At 37.3% G+C, this 14,772-nt stretch overlaps 1 protein-coding gene and 1 pseudogene across 18 annotated transcripts in view; both read left to right on the forward strand.

The window, feature by feature from the left end:
* Window positions 1-12,970, forward strand: part of CEP57L1 (centrosomal protein 57 like 1) — a 79,256-nt gene extending 66,286 nt beyond the window's left edge. For all 17 annotated transcript variants that reach the window (NM_001350662.2, NM_001083535.3, NM_001350655.2 and 14 more), the window contains one exon: window positions 1,301-12,970. In NM_001350662.2, the coding sequence (NP_001337591.1) occupies window positions 1,301-1,522 (222 nt within the window). In that variant the 3' untranslated portion in view covers window positions 1,523-12,970. The remainder of the gene's footprint in view (window positions 1-1,300) is intronic.
* CCDC162P (coiled-coil domain containing 162, pseudogene) overlaps window positions 4,383-14,772 on the forward strand; it is a 189,118-nt pseudogene continuing 178,728 nt past the window's right edge. Inside the window, exon 1 of the transcript NR_152435.1 lies at window positions 4,383-4,437. The product of NR_152435.1 is annotated as a coiled-coil domain containing 162, pseudogene (transcript). The remainder of the gene's footprint in view (window positions 4,438-14,772) is intronic.

Genomic DNA, 14,772 nt, shown 5'->3' on the forward strand with positions numbered 1-14,772 from the left:
GGACAAAATCATCATTCATATAAGTTAGTGATATATGAATGTCACAAATAAGCCTCCCCGCGTTTTATAGGAAAGTAATAGAAGATGCAGAATATTATTACTTTTATTCTTATTGTGGGAAAGAAGGAAAGGAAGAAAGAAAGAAGTGAAATTTTTAAAACAAATATTTTTATTTTACTGGCTTTTAAGGCTATAGTAAGTAAAAATTTCTGTATGATTGTTTTGGAGTGAAGATTATACAACTTGTACACTTACTTGAAATTGCATTGGAGAAACTTGAAAGGAATAGAAGAATTATCACTTTTAAAACTCAGGTTGTATATATATACTATATTTTTAAAAACATGATTTATATTCCATAATAGCTATAGCAGTATAAATTTTAAGCATTTTATTATGATAAATGTAATATCTGTAATAAAAATTGACTGTTAGCCAAATAGAGAACTAGGTACTCCCCCAAAGTCTGGATCAGCTCTACAAATTAGACCTATGCTCAAGTGAAATAGCTTAAGTAATGGGTTGGACTTTGAAGAAATTGATTTTGGCTAGTTGATATGTATTGTTTTTGTTTAATTCTGTCTGCCTCCACTATTACCATATACTACTCAAGGTGATAAAGTTATTCCCTTGACTTTTTTTTAAACAGCCATTCAATAGTACTTTAAATTCAGGAATACACAAAAGTGTTTGTTCACAAAAGTATTCCTGAATTTAAAGTACTACTGAATGGCAGTTGGAAAAAAACACATATTTATACACACACATATATATACATATACACATACATATGCACATGTGTGTGTATAACTTTCAAAACTTGATACTCATTCCTAGAACCAATTATTTGCTTTGCTGTTAATGTTACCTGAAAGGTTCTTCTCTGTCCTCTCTGTTCTCTAGTTTTTACCAGTTTAATATCTTATATACAACCTTTCCCTCAATCTCTGCAGCCCATGTTGACCTTATCCGACTTTGGCCTTCTTACATATACACTTTTTGTCTTATTCAAAGTTATCCTGGCTCAGAGTATTCTCTAGTTGTCACATATGTGCTTTTTTTCACTAATAGGAGCAGTAAGCTCCTTGAAAGTAAGAGCTTTTTTCTCATTATATTTCTACCTGACAAGCACAGTGTTAGGCATGTAATAGATGTTCAATAAATTAAAAACTTAATGAATTGAATTTTTTAATGTTCAATTTTAACTTTTTAACGTTAAACCATCAATTCAACCTATCTATTTTGGAATATATTTTTAGTATATTTTTGACTAAAATGTTAGATTTTTTTTTCTCTCCAGGTCTGTAAACTGCAGCAAAAAGTTCAAAACTCAAAGATGAGTGAAGCTTCAGGTATTCAGCAAGAAGACAGCTACCCTAAAGGATCAAAGAACATAAAAAATAGCCCCAGAAAATGTTTGACTGACACTAACCTTTTTCAGAAAAACAGCAGCTTTCATCCAATACGAGTTCATAATCTTCAAATGAAATTGAGAAGAGATGATATCATGTGGGAACAGTAACAAAACAGCAAAACTGTCACCTTAATGAACTTTGTCAGTGAGACCTTGAATTGTCTAAAGTGGTTTTAATTTAATATAACTTTGTGACATTTTGAATCATGTTTCTAGTTTCTATAAAACATGAAGTTGCAGTATTTAAAAATTAATGCCTAATGACCTGGTGGGTTCCAAATAATAAATTAATTGCTTTTTTATTTTTCTTATTGATTGAAGCCCGTAACCTCATCTTGTCTTAGAAACATTGTTGGCTTTGCAGATATCTTAAGCTAAATTTAAGAAATTGTACTAGATTGACAATATTCAAAATTGAGTTAAATCCAAGCTACAAGTACCATTCATTCCACTTTTCATTTAGTAGGTTTGGAACCTTAAAAACCAATGTTCAATGAACAGAGTTCAGAAAGATCATTTAGCTTTCCTGGTGCCTTCTTTCTATTTTGTTTTAGAGCTGTGAAATGTTTTTCTCTTTTGGAAAAGGAAAAACTTAATAGTTACACAGTTTTGTGAAGAAGCCTTTAATCCAAGTTTTATGAGACAGTAGGAACCTATAGCTACTTAATTTTTAGGAGACAGTAATTCAGTTGCAGAAGCTTTCCTCTGCTATTCCCATTCTCTTTTACAAAACTAGTTTTTTTTAAAAAATCAATGATCAATTTTATCTTACTACTTTATAACTTTTGCTGACTTTTATTCTTTGCATTGTATGTAATGTCCATCAGTATAAATTGAGACTGTGAATTTCTAGGACCCACAAAAGTGGTATTTTTTTTTTGTACAAGAAAGTATAGAGGAAGAGGAAGCTGGGCATTAAATTACCTCATCCAGCAGAAATTCACGGTAGTATGGTATATTTTTATTTTTTATATTTTAAAATCAATAATGTCAAATGTCATTGTGTATGCATGCTTTATAATAAATTTACACTTGATCATTTTTCTGGAAGCCTATGGGAACTAGTACAACTCTTCTGAACTCTTGGTTTCTCACTCAAATCCTCTGAGGCAACTGGGGAACTAGAGTCATGAACTGAATTAGAAATAGAGGACAGAGAGAAAAGATATAATAGAATGGAGGAGCTCAAATATAGGGTAGCAGTTTAAGAGATGGTGATTCCTAAGGGACAGAGTTGGAAGTACATATTTACTGAATTCTTTGAACCCACAGCTGATGGAATGTTCAAGCTATAGATGTGAAAGAATTTTTAGGTCAGGATCTTGGGAAGCTAAGGAGAGCAATTTTTAAAAGACAGTTTTTCTGTTTTCCTAGGAAATTCCCAAGAAGCTTGTGTAGGAAAAAGTTGGTAATTATGGATCTTTTGGGGAGGAAGAGAACTATAATTCATTCTAATGGTGAGGAGAGATACCATGTTAGAATACCTTCCATACCTGGAAGTGGGGAAGTGACTGAAGATGGGCACATTGATGCTTGAAATTGTCCTTGAAAGTAGTTAATGGCAGAGATCAAAATTTCCTCCTGTTGTAAATAGTGCATGTGCCCTTTGCCAGCTTTCACTCCCACTCATTCACACCCTTAGCTCCTCAGCCCTGGAGATGTTCCATAGGGTGTTTGATCTAAACTCAGTTGCATCACCTTACCTGTTTTTCTACTTTGCCTTTCCTCCTTGAGGATATGAGTTTTATAGCTTAAGCTTAGCTTTTTGCTAAACTTTTTAGCTTTCTGCTATCCACCAGGACCATAATGCAGACCTATAGTTCTGTGCCTTTGTTTTCTATACATTTAGGAAGGTGGCTGAATATATTTAGTTATTAATAATTCATTACTTGTGAAAAGGTATTGCTTTAAAAATTATCATTAAAAATTTAAAAACCGTCCAGGCGCGGTGGCTCACACCTATAATCCCAGCACTTTGGGAGGCCGAGGCAGGCAGATCACGAGGTCAGGAGATTGAGACCATCCTGGCCAACATGTGAAACCCTGTCTCTACTAAATTACAAAAATTAGCCGGGTGTGGTGGCGCATGCCTGTAATCCCAGCTACTTGGGAGACTGAGGCAGGGGAATCGCTTGAACCTGGGAGATGGAGGTTGCAGTGAGCTGAGATCTCACCACTGTACTCCAGCCTGGTGACACAGCAAGACTCTGTCTCAAAAAAAAAAAAAAAAATTAAAACCATTTTAGGAACATGGAATATTTCAACTGAGAATTTTCTTAAAAATTAGTCCAGTGTAGTAGAAAAAACCACAACTTCAGAGCTAGGAAACTTGGTTTCAAATTCTGGGACTCTACCATTTAATAGCTTGGACAAGTCAGATAACTTTCTGGAGCCTCAGTTTCTCATCTGTAAAGTGAGGATTATACTAATATCTCCCTCACAGGACTATACTAATTTGTTGTGAGGAGTTAATGAAATAACATGGGAAAGCACCCAGCAGAAGAGTTGACACTTATTAAACACTCAATAAATATTTTTTGAATCTGAGTGGCAAAAAAAAAAAAAAAATGTAGAACACATGTTTGCATGGGTTGAAGCCTAAAAGCAAACACCTAAATATATTATTGGTAAAAGTGGGAATATTCTCACTTATTTTGGTTTTTATCTCTTTCTGTGTGCCTGAAGGGAAATGGCTTTGTCATCTTTCCTAGCCCAGGTTTCTAATGGGAGGGGGTAAAGAACACAGTCCTGTCATTGTGCTGAAACATGTAACCACACACAGCAAATAGGTTTGGAGTATGGTGTGGTTGTTGAGGTGACATTTATTATTGAGAGACAATGAAGAATGGTGTCTTGTTGCTTCATCACAGCTACTGAACTCACAGACTGCCTGCTTGCCAGAGCCTTTGACTCCTCAGGGGGTGGAGCAAAAGATTTCTTTCCTGGATGGAGCAGTCAGTCTATGGTCAGTGTAAGAGTTGCTGTAGCAACCTCACAGCTGTGCTCTGTCTAGCAGAAACTTGGTATGATTTCACGGATTTTGTTCACTTAAGTAAAAAACAGATTTGTTTGGTTTTTATGTAATTAGAAATTGAAATAATGGAATTGGAATTTTCTAGCCAAGGCAGGTCTCAATTTTGATGAAACTGAAGCCAGAAAGTTCCAGTGTTTGAAGCAGCAGGTATTGTGACTATATTCTGATACTGGAAATGGGAGTTGGAATCCTGAATTAACTGTACTTGGGTGGATCATTGGCAACCCAGCCATTTTTATTAGGTTGTAGATAAAGACAGGAGGGTCAGAGGGAAATGTTCAGTTTTCAACAATGTAAGATTAAAGTGGGAGATACTTAGTACATAGTAAGTTAACTGGCTGGGATAATGTAGATAATGTACTTGAAAATTATTTTTGAGCTTTTTTGGTAGCTTTCTTACTTTATTCCTTTTTTTCTATACCTGCCAGTAGATGTGAGAGCTTTTCTTACTTTAAAAGTGTAATTTTAACTATAAATGTATATTCTTTTTTTTTTTTTTTTGGTGGGCATGGAGTCTCGCTGTGTCACCCAGGCTAGAGTGCAGTGGCACGATCTCAGCTCACTGCAACCTCCACCTCTCAGGTTCAAGCTATTCTCCTGCCTCAGCCTCCCGAGTAGCTGGAATTACAGGCACCTGCCATACACCCAGCTAATTTTTGTATTTTTAGTAGAGATGGGGTTTCACTGTGTTAGCCAGGATGGTCTGGATCTCCTGACCTCAGGTGATCCGCCCACCTCAGCCTCCCAAAGTGCTGGGATTACAGGCATGAGCCACTGCGCCCAGCCTAAATGTGTATTCTTATCCATGATAAGAGATCAAAAATTAAATAAAAATTTTACTTGTAATGTGAGAAATCAATCTAAGGGGGGAAGAGGCCAGTTGGTTATGCACAATGGAAGGAGTGCATTGTGGACAGAAATGCAACAGCTGCCATTATTGGTGTAGAGTAAATAATGAAACTCCTAATGGGGTTTCCTGGAACAATATTCAGCTGTAACTAAAGCTTTATCTACTGAGAACATTTAATTGTAGGTGACGTGTAGATAAGTATAAGCTGACACTCAGACATATGACAAGACAACCTTCACTAAGGCATAATAGCAACTGTGAGATTTTTAAAAAACTATGCGTGCCATTGCACCTTTTAATTAAAGTGAGATGAGGATAAATAAAAATAATATTGACTGTCACTCATCTGAAAATAAATTTACTTCTTGGTAATTAAATAGACCTTCTCAATGCCTCAGCCTTTTTCTTCATATTCCATCTACTTGTTTTCATGTAACTTTGTCTTTCAATTCGTTTTTGTTTTTTTTTTCCTGTAAGGAGAATTAGACATAGAAAAATTATAAATTTAAGCCTTAAAATAATGTCTGGGCCAGAGTTTGTTGTTACTTTTGCTGTAGATTGTTTACTTAAAGAATTAGGTGAATTTTTTTTTTCCTGGTAGGTTTATTGGGAGTGTTCTCCATATTGATATAGATGGATCCATTTCCCATTTGGGGCTGAGCACTGTGTCTTACGCCTGTAATCCCAGCACTGTGAGAGGCCGAGGCAGGCGGATCACCTAAGTCAGGAGTTCAACACCAGCCTGGCCAATGTAGTGAAACCCTGTCTCTACTAAAAATAAAAAAAAATTAGCTGGGTGTGGTAGCATGCAGTCCAGCTACTCGGGAGGCTGAGGCAGGATAATTGCTTGAACCTGGGAGGCAGAGGTTGCGGTGAGCCGAGATTGTGCCACTGCACTCCAGCCTGGGCAACAGAGCAAGACTCTGCCTCAAAGCAAAAAAAAAAAGAAAAGAAAAGAAAAAAGGAATAGCCCAGTATTGTTTGTTTGGGGAGGGGCAGGGTGTGGTTCCACCAACTGTGGGCACCAGAATGGTGCTTTCTTTGATACTATGCTAAGAGGAAGAGGTTTGAGAGCCAAGAGTTCTTTATTTGGATATTGGTATGTTTGACTTGTTCATCAGTGAGTATTTATTGATCTCTAATTATTGATCTCAAAATACTGTATTAGCTACTATGGAATTCCGTTTTCAAGTTGCTTATAGTCTTGAGGAGAGATAAGATGTATATATATTTAAAAGGAAGAAAACAGTAAGTGACATGAAAGGCATAATGACAACCACAGAGCAGATGCTCAAATATTTATTTGCCTACTAAATGTTTGTTCTCATCTATCGATAAAGTGCTTAAGAAGTTGGCCTGTTTGTAATTTCTTCATTTTCTATCTATCTTGATTTATATACCTTCACCTTTTTAAATTTTTTGCCTGGTAGCAGTATTGGTCTAGGATTTTCACTCTTTATTAGGCTTCTTGATTGAAGATACCAGTTCCTTTAGTAATTTCAAAATGCCGGCCATAGCCAGTCTATAATCCAATTCAAAGGCATGAGTGGAAAAAGTGGGTATGAAACAATGAAGTAAATGGAGAAGTGGGGGAAAATCAAGCAATAATCACTTAGACTAAAACAGAACAATAAGAATTATACAGAAAGGTTATATTCTAGAGGCCAAGTATTGACTTGCACAGAATTGTGTAAATGATTGCCATTCACTTCCCTTATGAACTTAAGCCACTCAATTTCTGCATACTTCAGCCTCCTCATTGGTTGGATCCAGTCAGTGTTTTTCATAGTACATACAGTCATACCGGTGGATTGTCAAATCAATTTAGCGGGTCACTACCAGCATTTTTTTTTTTTTTTTTTTTTTGAGATTGGAGTCTCGCTCCTTCACCCAGGCTGGAGTGCAATGGTACAATCTCGTCTCACTGCAACCTCCACCTCCCAGGTTCAAGCAATTCTCCTGCCTCAGCCTCCCAAGTAGCTGGGATTATAGGTGTGCACCACCATGCCCTGCTAATTTTTTGTATTTTAGTAGAGATGGGGTTTCACTGTATTGCCCAGGCTGGTCACGAACTCCTGAGCTCAGGCAATCTGCCCGCCTCAGTGTCCCAAAGTGCTGGGATTACAGGCGTGAGCCACCATGCCTGGCCAGCATTTTTTAAATGATATAAAATAGTATTGAAAATATCAGAATGTGGCCAGGTGCGATGGCTCACGCCTGTAAAATCTTAACACTTTAGGAGGCCGAGGCGGGCAGATTGCCTGAGCTCAGGAGTTCAAGACCACCCTGGGCGACATGGTGAAATCCCATCTCTACTAAAAATACAAAAATTAGCCGGGCATGGTGGTATGTGCCTGTAATCCCGGGTACTCGGGAGGCTAAGGCCAGAGGATTGCTTGAACCAGGGAGGCGGAGGTTGCAGTAAGCTGAGATTGTGCCACTGCACTCTAGCCTGAGCAGCAGAGTGAGGCTCCATCAGCAAAAAAAAAAAAAAAAAAAAAGATCAGAGTGCATCACACATAATTAAGGTAGCTTATGTTTTGTGAAACTTTGTGAGTACGGGTTGTCATTTTTAATGTAGCCCTAAATGTTTTTTAGGGAAGAAAAAGTTGGCTTTTAATAAGTATTCAGTGAGAATGAATTTGAAGGGTGTGGAGAAAAGTGGAATAGCCAATTTAAAATAGGAATACTCCCAAGTCCCCTGTTATGGATGTGCCAATCTATTGTTTATCCCAGAAATATTGTTTCATGTGTTTTACAGATAACAAGTCTCATTTTAATCAATACTGTTGCATTTCCTGGTCTATAGAATACAATTTTCAAACACTAGCCAACTTACCTTAGAGAAATACTGGTTTTCTAATGTGGGCAAATAAATACATTCAGTATGAATCCCTTAACAAAATGACCTCATTATGCTACCTCTTGGTAAAATCTAACCAAGCATGAGTCTTATGATTAAGAAAGAAATTTGCTCTGTAGGTGCTTCAGACAGTTTTACAACCAATAAGAATGTGAGATTTGTCGGAGAAAAACTATCTGCATGTCTCCAATCTGAAGAGAGCAAAGATCTGTTATTTGACAAACCCTATTTTTCCGAGCATCAACAGTCAGTGGCACCATGAAAATTAAAAACCTGATAATACCACCAATGTAGTACTCTTTAAAAACATGTCATCTTACTCAGCAATCAACCTGATTGAATATTTTAAAATGAATAAGTGGATAAATATCTTACCTGAAAGATAGCTTCATTAAATAAACTAACTCCTGAGAGGATTTCTTTGGCCTTTAATATCCTATTTAATAGATTTCTTATAACCATATCAGCAAAGCCACTCTGCTCTGGACAATGGTCAGAAGGTAGGAAGAAGTGTTATAGGGTAATGAGCAATAATAAGGCCACCAAATATAATCCCATTGTAATGGGATTCTACCCACTTGTAGAAGTTTATTCACCACTACAAATTACTAAAGTTAACCTAAACAATTAAAGAAAGAAATCTTAGTCTTTAAGAACAGAGGATTGTAAAGTGAGCCAGACCTTCCAATCAGCTAAAATAATGTAAAATAATGTACTTTTCAACCTGACTTGGCTTAATGTAGTTAAGTAAATTTTAGGATAGGTTCTAAAAAACCTTGAGAGGCATTTTGTTGTTGTTGTTGTTGTTGTTAGTTTGCCTTAAAGTTAAATGTACATTGACCTTTGGTATTTCTTAGAAAAACCTGTTACTGAACCTAGTACAGAATGTGAATCATTTCATGCCTGAAATACAAGATTGATGTTTACAGGGCAATTGTCCAGAATCTTGCTGAATTGGAAAGTATTTCACTCTTCATCACTGTAGATCCGTTTAACTTTACAAATGTGTTATTTAAAACATAAACCATTTTGGTGCACAGGAAACCCACTTAAAATTAAATTTTAAAAAGCTCTCGAGAAGTCTGTGGAACATTTATGGTTTTATAACTTACAATTTCTAGCAAAAGTATCTTTAATATCTTACAAAATATTTTCAGAGATAGCTTATCCAAAATATGTAATACATGTGAGAGAATAGCACTGTTGAAATGCTTGAACACATAAAAAGCATTATTGCCTTCATTTTCCCTGAAATGAACCAAGCTACCAATTTAAAGCTGGGAAAGTCAGTACCAGAGTTAAAAACAAGTTACTTTAAAGATATCTGCTTTTACTTTAATCTAAAAAATAATTGATTTTTTAAAAAACTTATTCTATTTTATGTATATAACTTCTCCTTTATAAGCTTAGAAAAATTTATATCAGTATTACATTCTTGATTCTCTCAAGGTATGATTTAAATGGTGGACACTTAAGCCAAAATTTCAAACAGGTTCTTTTTTCTTTGTTCTTTTACAGAATGGCTCTCAAGTCGAAAGAGGGCTGTGCCTTTGGTGTTTGGGTATGATATATTTGCCTGTGATTTCTCATTCTCAGAGCATTCCCATAAATAATGCCACAAAGTAGAGTTTGATTTTTTTTTTTTTGAGACGGAGTTTCGCTCTTGTTGCCCAAGCTGGAGTGCAATGGCGCGATCTCAGCTCACTGCAACCTCCGCCTCCCAGGTTCAAGCGATTCTTCTGCCTCAGCCTCCCAAGTAGCTGGGATTACAGGCATGCGTCACCACACCCGGCTGTTTTTTTTTTTCGCATTTTTAATAGAAACGGGGTTTCACCGTGTTAGCCAGGCTGGTCTCGAACTCCTGACCTTAGGTGAACTGCCCGCCTCAGCCTCCCAAAGTGCTGGGATTACAGGTGTGAGCCACCGCGCCCTGCCTAGAGTTTGATTCTCTTAAACCGTTCTACTAAAATACTATCAGTTTAAACTACCATCTACAGAAATAAAAAACATAAACCACTAAAAGATTAAAGCATTTAGGAGTTTATATGCAAAGAAGTCTTGCAAGGGAGTACAAGCTTTAGGAGGACAGGCTTATCAAATTAAAAAATGAAAAAACCTACAAAATTACCAAAGTCACCAAGTTTAGTTATTCTTTTCATGGTGGAAAACAGTTTCCTCAGATAATCATCATATCAGAGGTCATCATGTATCCTTAGATATCAGCATTGCCAAGACCAGGGATATAGTTATTAGTAATTTACAGGAAAGGCTCAAGGTTTCATTTACATGGGAAATGAGAACTAGACAGTGTGGTGACTGTTTTTGTTGTTAACCTTACCTCAGTGTTTTATCTCGGGTGGTCCCCAAGACCACCTTCAGGATCAGTGATTCACTGGAGGGACTCACAGAACTCAGAAAAGCTGTTAAGTTATGGTTATGGTATATTATAGCAAAAGAATATATATTAAAATCAGCAGCTGAAAAAAGGCACATAGGGCAAAGTCTGGGGGACACCAGGCACAAGCTTCCAGTTGTCCTTCACCTGTGAAGTCATGTAGACAGACCATAATTCTCTCAGCAGACAGACCATAATTCTCTCAGCAACAATGTGTGACAACATTCTTGGAGAATTGCTAACCAGGGAAGCTCCACCAAGCCTTGGTGTCCAGATTTTTTCTTGAGGGTTGGTCACGTAGGCATAGCATGACTGATAGCCCATGTGGCTGACCTTCAGTTTTCAGCCCCTCCAAAGATGGAGCTGATACTACATGGCCTAAGGACTTCACCATTAATCACATTGTTAGCTTAGACTACCTGGTATGGCCTAAGGCCCCCAAGTAAATTAAAACATTCATATCAGGCAGGATAGTCCAAGGACTTAGAGGTTATCTTGAATCTGGACACAGGACAAACATTTCTTTGGAATGTGAAAAGTTTACACAATCAAGACTTGCTATGTTGATCCTTTACTGCGGTATTGTTTTTTGTTTTCTGACCCAAAAGTGATGTGCATTGCTTACCTATCATGGCCTCTGGTTAAGGTGTCAGTCTTGCCTCCAAATTTCCTCCTAAAGCATGGAATTGGCCATAAATTTGCTTAGTGATTTTCTGATTTAGTATCATTAGTTTGATGACTAGTTTTATTATGTGAGTGTGATAAAAGGTTACGCTTAGTATACAAAGACCTTCTTATAAGTCTAGTTAATAAAACTAGGGCCATGTGTTACTACAACATAGGAGTTAACTTTGTCTGGAGGCTTTTTCAAGCCCAAGAGGTTGTCATTTCTTTATGTGTAAGATACTGCCCACATACTATACTGAAGTCAGGAACCAAGAACCGGTCAATTTACCTCAGCCAAGTTGCTTGGACTGCTTTGCTTAATAATGGGTTTGCCATATCTACTTTAATGAGATGTGTGGCATGGTGATGGTTACAAAAGTGATTTGTTAATTATTGCCTGGTAGGAAGGAGAACATGTTTTTTTTGAACCTATGCAAATAGCCACATGTCTGTGAAAAGTAAAGGGATACTTTTGTGTAATATTTAACCATGTATACCATTGTTTGTGTACTTTTTAATTGTGTCATTTTCTACAGTATTATTTTTGCATTTTCCTGACACTGTATTACTTACAAGTTATATTAATAATTTTTATTAATTTTTTTCCTGAATCCTAAAAGGTCAGTTGGAACATGAGACCATTTAAAGAATATTATTTCCTTCCAGTTTATTCAAGGGTGGCCTATTGAGAGTTTGAGATAAAGAAGAAAGGAATCTTTCCTTTCCTTCCCCCTCAGCCCGCCCCCTACCTTTCTTTTTTTTTTTTTTTTCTTTTCAGGGTCTTGTTCTGTCACCCAGGCTGGAGTGGAGTGAATGCAATCAAAGCTCACTGCAACCTCAAACTCTTGGGCTTAAGCAGTCCTCCTGCCTCTGCCTCCCAAGTAGCTGGGACTACAGGTGCATGCCACCACACCTGGCTAATTAAAAAAAAAAAAAAATTTTTTTTTTTGAGGAGACGCGGTCTCACTTTGCTGCCCAGGCTGGTCTCAAACTCTGGGCTCAAGCAATCCTTCCACCTCAGCCTCCCAAAGCTCTGGGATTACAGGCATGAGCCACTGTGCCCGGCAGAATTTTTCTGTGTCCATTAGAAATAGAAATCAGTCACATGCTATGATTTCAATATGTCACTCAAAAGCCATGTGTTGGGGCTGAACGTAGTGGCTCACGCCTATAATCCCAGCACTTTGGGAGGCAAAGGAAGGTGGATCACTTGAGGTCAGGAGTTTGAGACCAGCCTCCAACATGGTGAAACCCCGTCTCTACTAAAAAAAAAAAAAAAATTAGCTGGGTGTGGTGGCATGCACCTGTAGTCTCAGCTACTCATCAGGCTGAGGCAGGAGAATCGCTTGAACCCAGGAGACAGAGGGTGCAGTGAGCCGAGATCATGCCATTGCACTCCAGCCTGAGCCATAGAGTGAGTCTTGGTCTCAAAAAAAAAAAAAAACCTTGTGTTGGAAACCATCTCCAATGAAGCAGTGTTAGGAGATAGGGCCTAATGGATATAAATTACAGTGTCTAAGATGGATACTTTACTCTTTTCTTTTGAGAAGGGAGAGAGTATGTTATGCACTGAGAACTTTTCAGATTTCTTGCAGAGGTCATAATGTTCCAGACAAGCTGGCAGCAATCATTCCCATCCCATCACAGATCCAGGCTTATTTGTAGAATGGTTACACAAACCAAGCAAAACCTTCTGTAAAGTTTCTACCCTTTGCTCTAAAGTTACATAAAAACAATTTCCAAGTTTGTTCACTGTGTATATTTTGTTCTTTTTCATGGTAGATTTGTCTGTTGGAGTTAGATATCCCTAAATAGTGTGTTCAAATGATGTTTTTTTCTGACTGTTCAATCTCCAGCATATTTCTGAGGGAGAAAGGACATTGACTTTGGAGAAAGAAAGCTGTGTAATTACAAATGGACTATTACAAAGAACTATGCCTTCCTTTTTGAGGAGAAAAAAGATGGTTTTTAAAAATTAATACGCAGGCTGGGCGTGGTAGCTCACGCCTGTAATCCAAGTCCTTTGGGAGGCTGAGGTGGGAGGATGGCTTGAGCTCAGGAGTTTGAGACCAGCTTTGGCAACATAGTGAGACCTCATCTCTACAAAAAAAATTTAAAAATTAGCCAGGCATAGTGATGCATGCCTGTAGTTTCAGCTACTTGGGAGGCTGAGATGGGAGGATTGCTTGAGCCCCAGAGATGGAGGCCGTGTGAACCATGATCATGCCACTGCACTCCAACCTGGGAGACAGAGCAAGACCCTATCTCAAAAAATAATAGCAATACACAGAACTACCAGCCTTAGTTTATAACATTAGCCACAGATGGATCAAATGTAATAAAAGTACAAAAAGCGTGAGTCATTGGTTAATGGTAGCAGCTCCAGATCTCCAAGGGCTTCTCTGCATTCCAGTGGCCACAAAAATATTTTTCTTAATTGATTTGAACTCATAGTGGCACAAAAAAATGAAAAACAAGTTTCGTCAATGGTCAGAAGATGAGAAAGAAAGTAAATCAGTGATGTAGGGAGTAATATGAGCAACTTTCCAACCTACTAATGCAACCTATCAATTTGACCAAACTCATGTCTTAAGACCCAGATGCAAAGAAAAGATGTATCTTAGATGACAGAAGATAACAGAATCCTCAAGACAAAAACAAAGTACAATCAGATGTCCTGTCATTGTTGCCTCACAAAGAACGGATCGACCATTAAAATGTGTATTTTCAACATTGCTGCCACCAAAGGAGAAATAAGTGGCTGTTTACAAATCAGAACCAGTGTCAAACGCAGACTTGGCCAGGAAGCAAAAAACATATGAAGAGCCAGAAAAAGAACTTGAATCAACTAGATGAAGACTTTATTGCCTCAAGACTGGAAAATGTATACCTCGAACAGCCCTTGAGTTGCTCTTCATGGACAATGTGGTGGACTTTACCCTGGTTGATGCATACACAAAATCTTAGAGGAATCTACACAATTGTCAAAGAAATATAGACAAAGGATTTAGGGGGGAAAGTTTACTTTCAAGGAAAGTTTGCAAGCAACTCCCAAGTTTTAAAAGAACTGGCTCATCAAATAAAAAAATACAAAAAAAAAAAAAGGAAAACCCACAAAATTACCAGTATTACCAAGTTTGTAGTTGTCCAATCATGGTAGAAAAGACAGCGATTTTCTCACATGATTGTCATAGCCACAAAGATCATCACAGATTTTCATCTATTATCATTGCAAAAGTTGGCAATAAAATTGCTTTTATTAAAGGAATTAGTAAATTATAAACAAAACTTAAGGATTATTTTATTTTGGGAAAATGAATGACAGTGACCCTGTTTTTGTTTGCTTATTTCTCTCAGGGTGCAAGATATTTTCTGACTACAATGTACATGTTGATAATGCTCTGATAACAGCAGAGCAGTGTGTACATTTTGCTTTCACACATGCTTCTTTTGATCTTTGGTAATTTTTTAAAAAAATGCTTCCATGAACAGATAATGAGGTGGTTTATTATTATTTGAGGTAAAAGAGACAATAATATGGAGCGGTGGG

Source organism: Homo sapiens, chromosome 6, assembly GCF_000001405.40.
Source record: "Homo sapiens chromosome 6, GRCh38.p14 Primary Assembly".
NCBI lineage: Eukaryota > Metazoa > Chordata > Mammalia > Primates > Hominidae > Homo > Homo sapiens.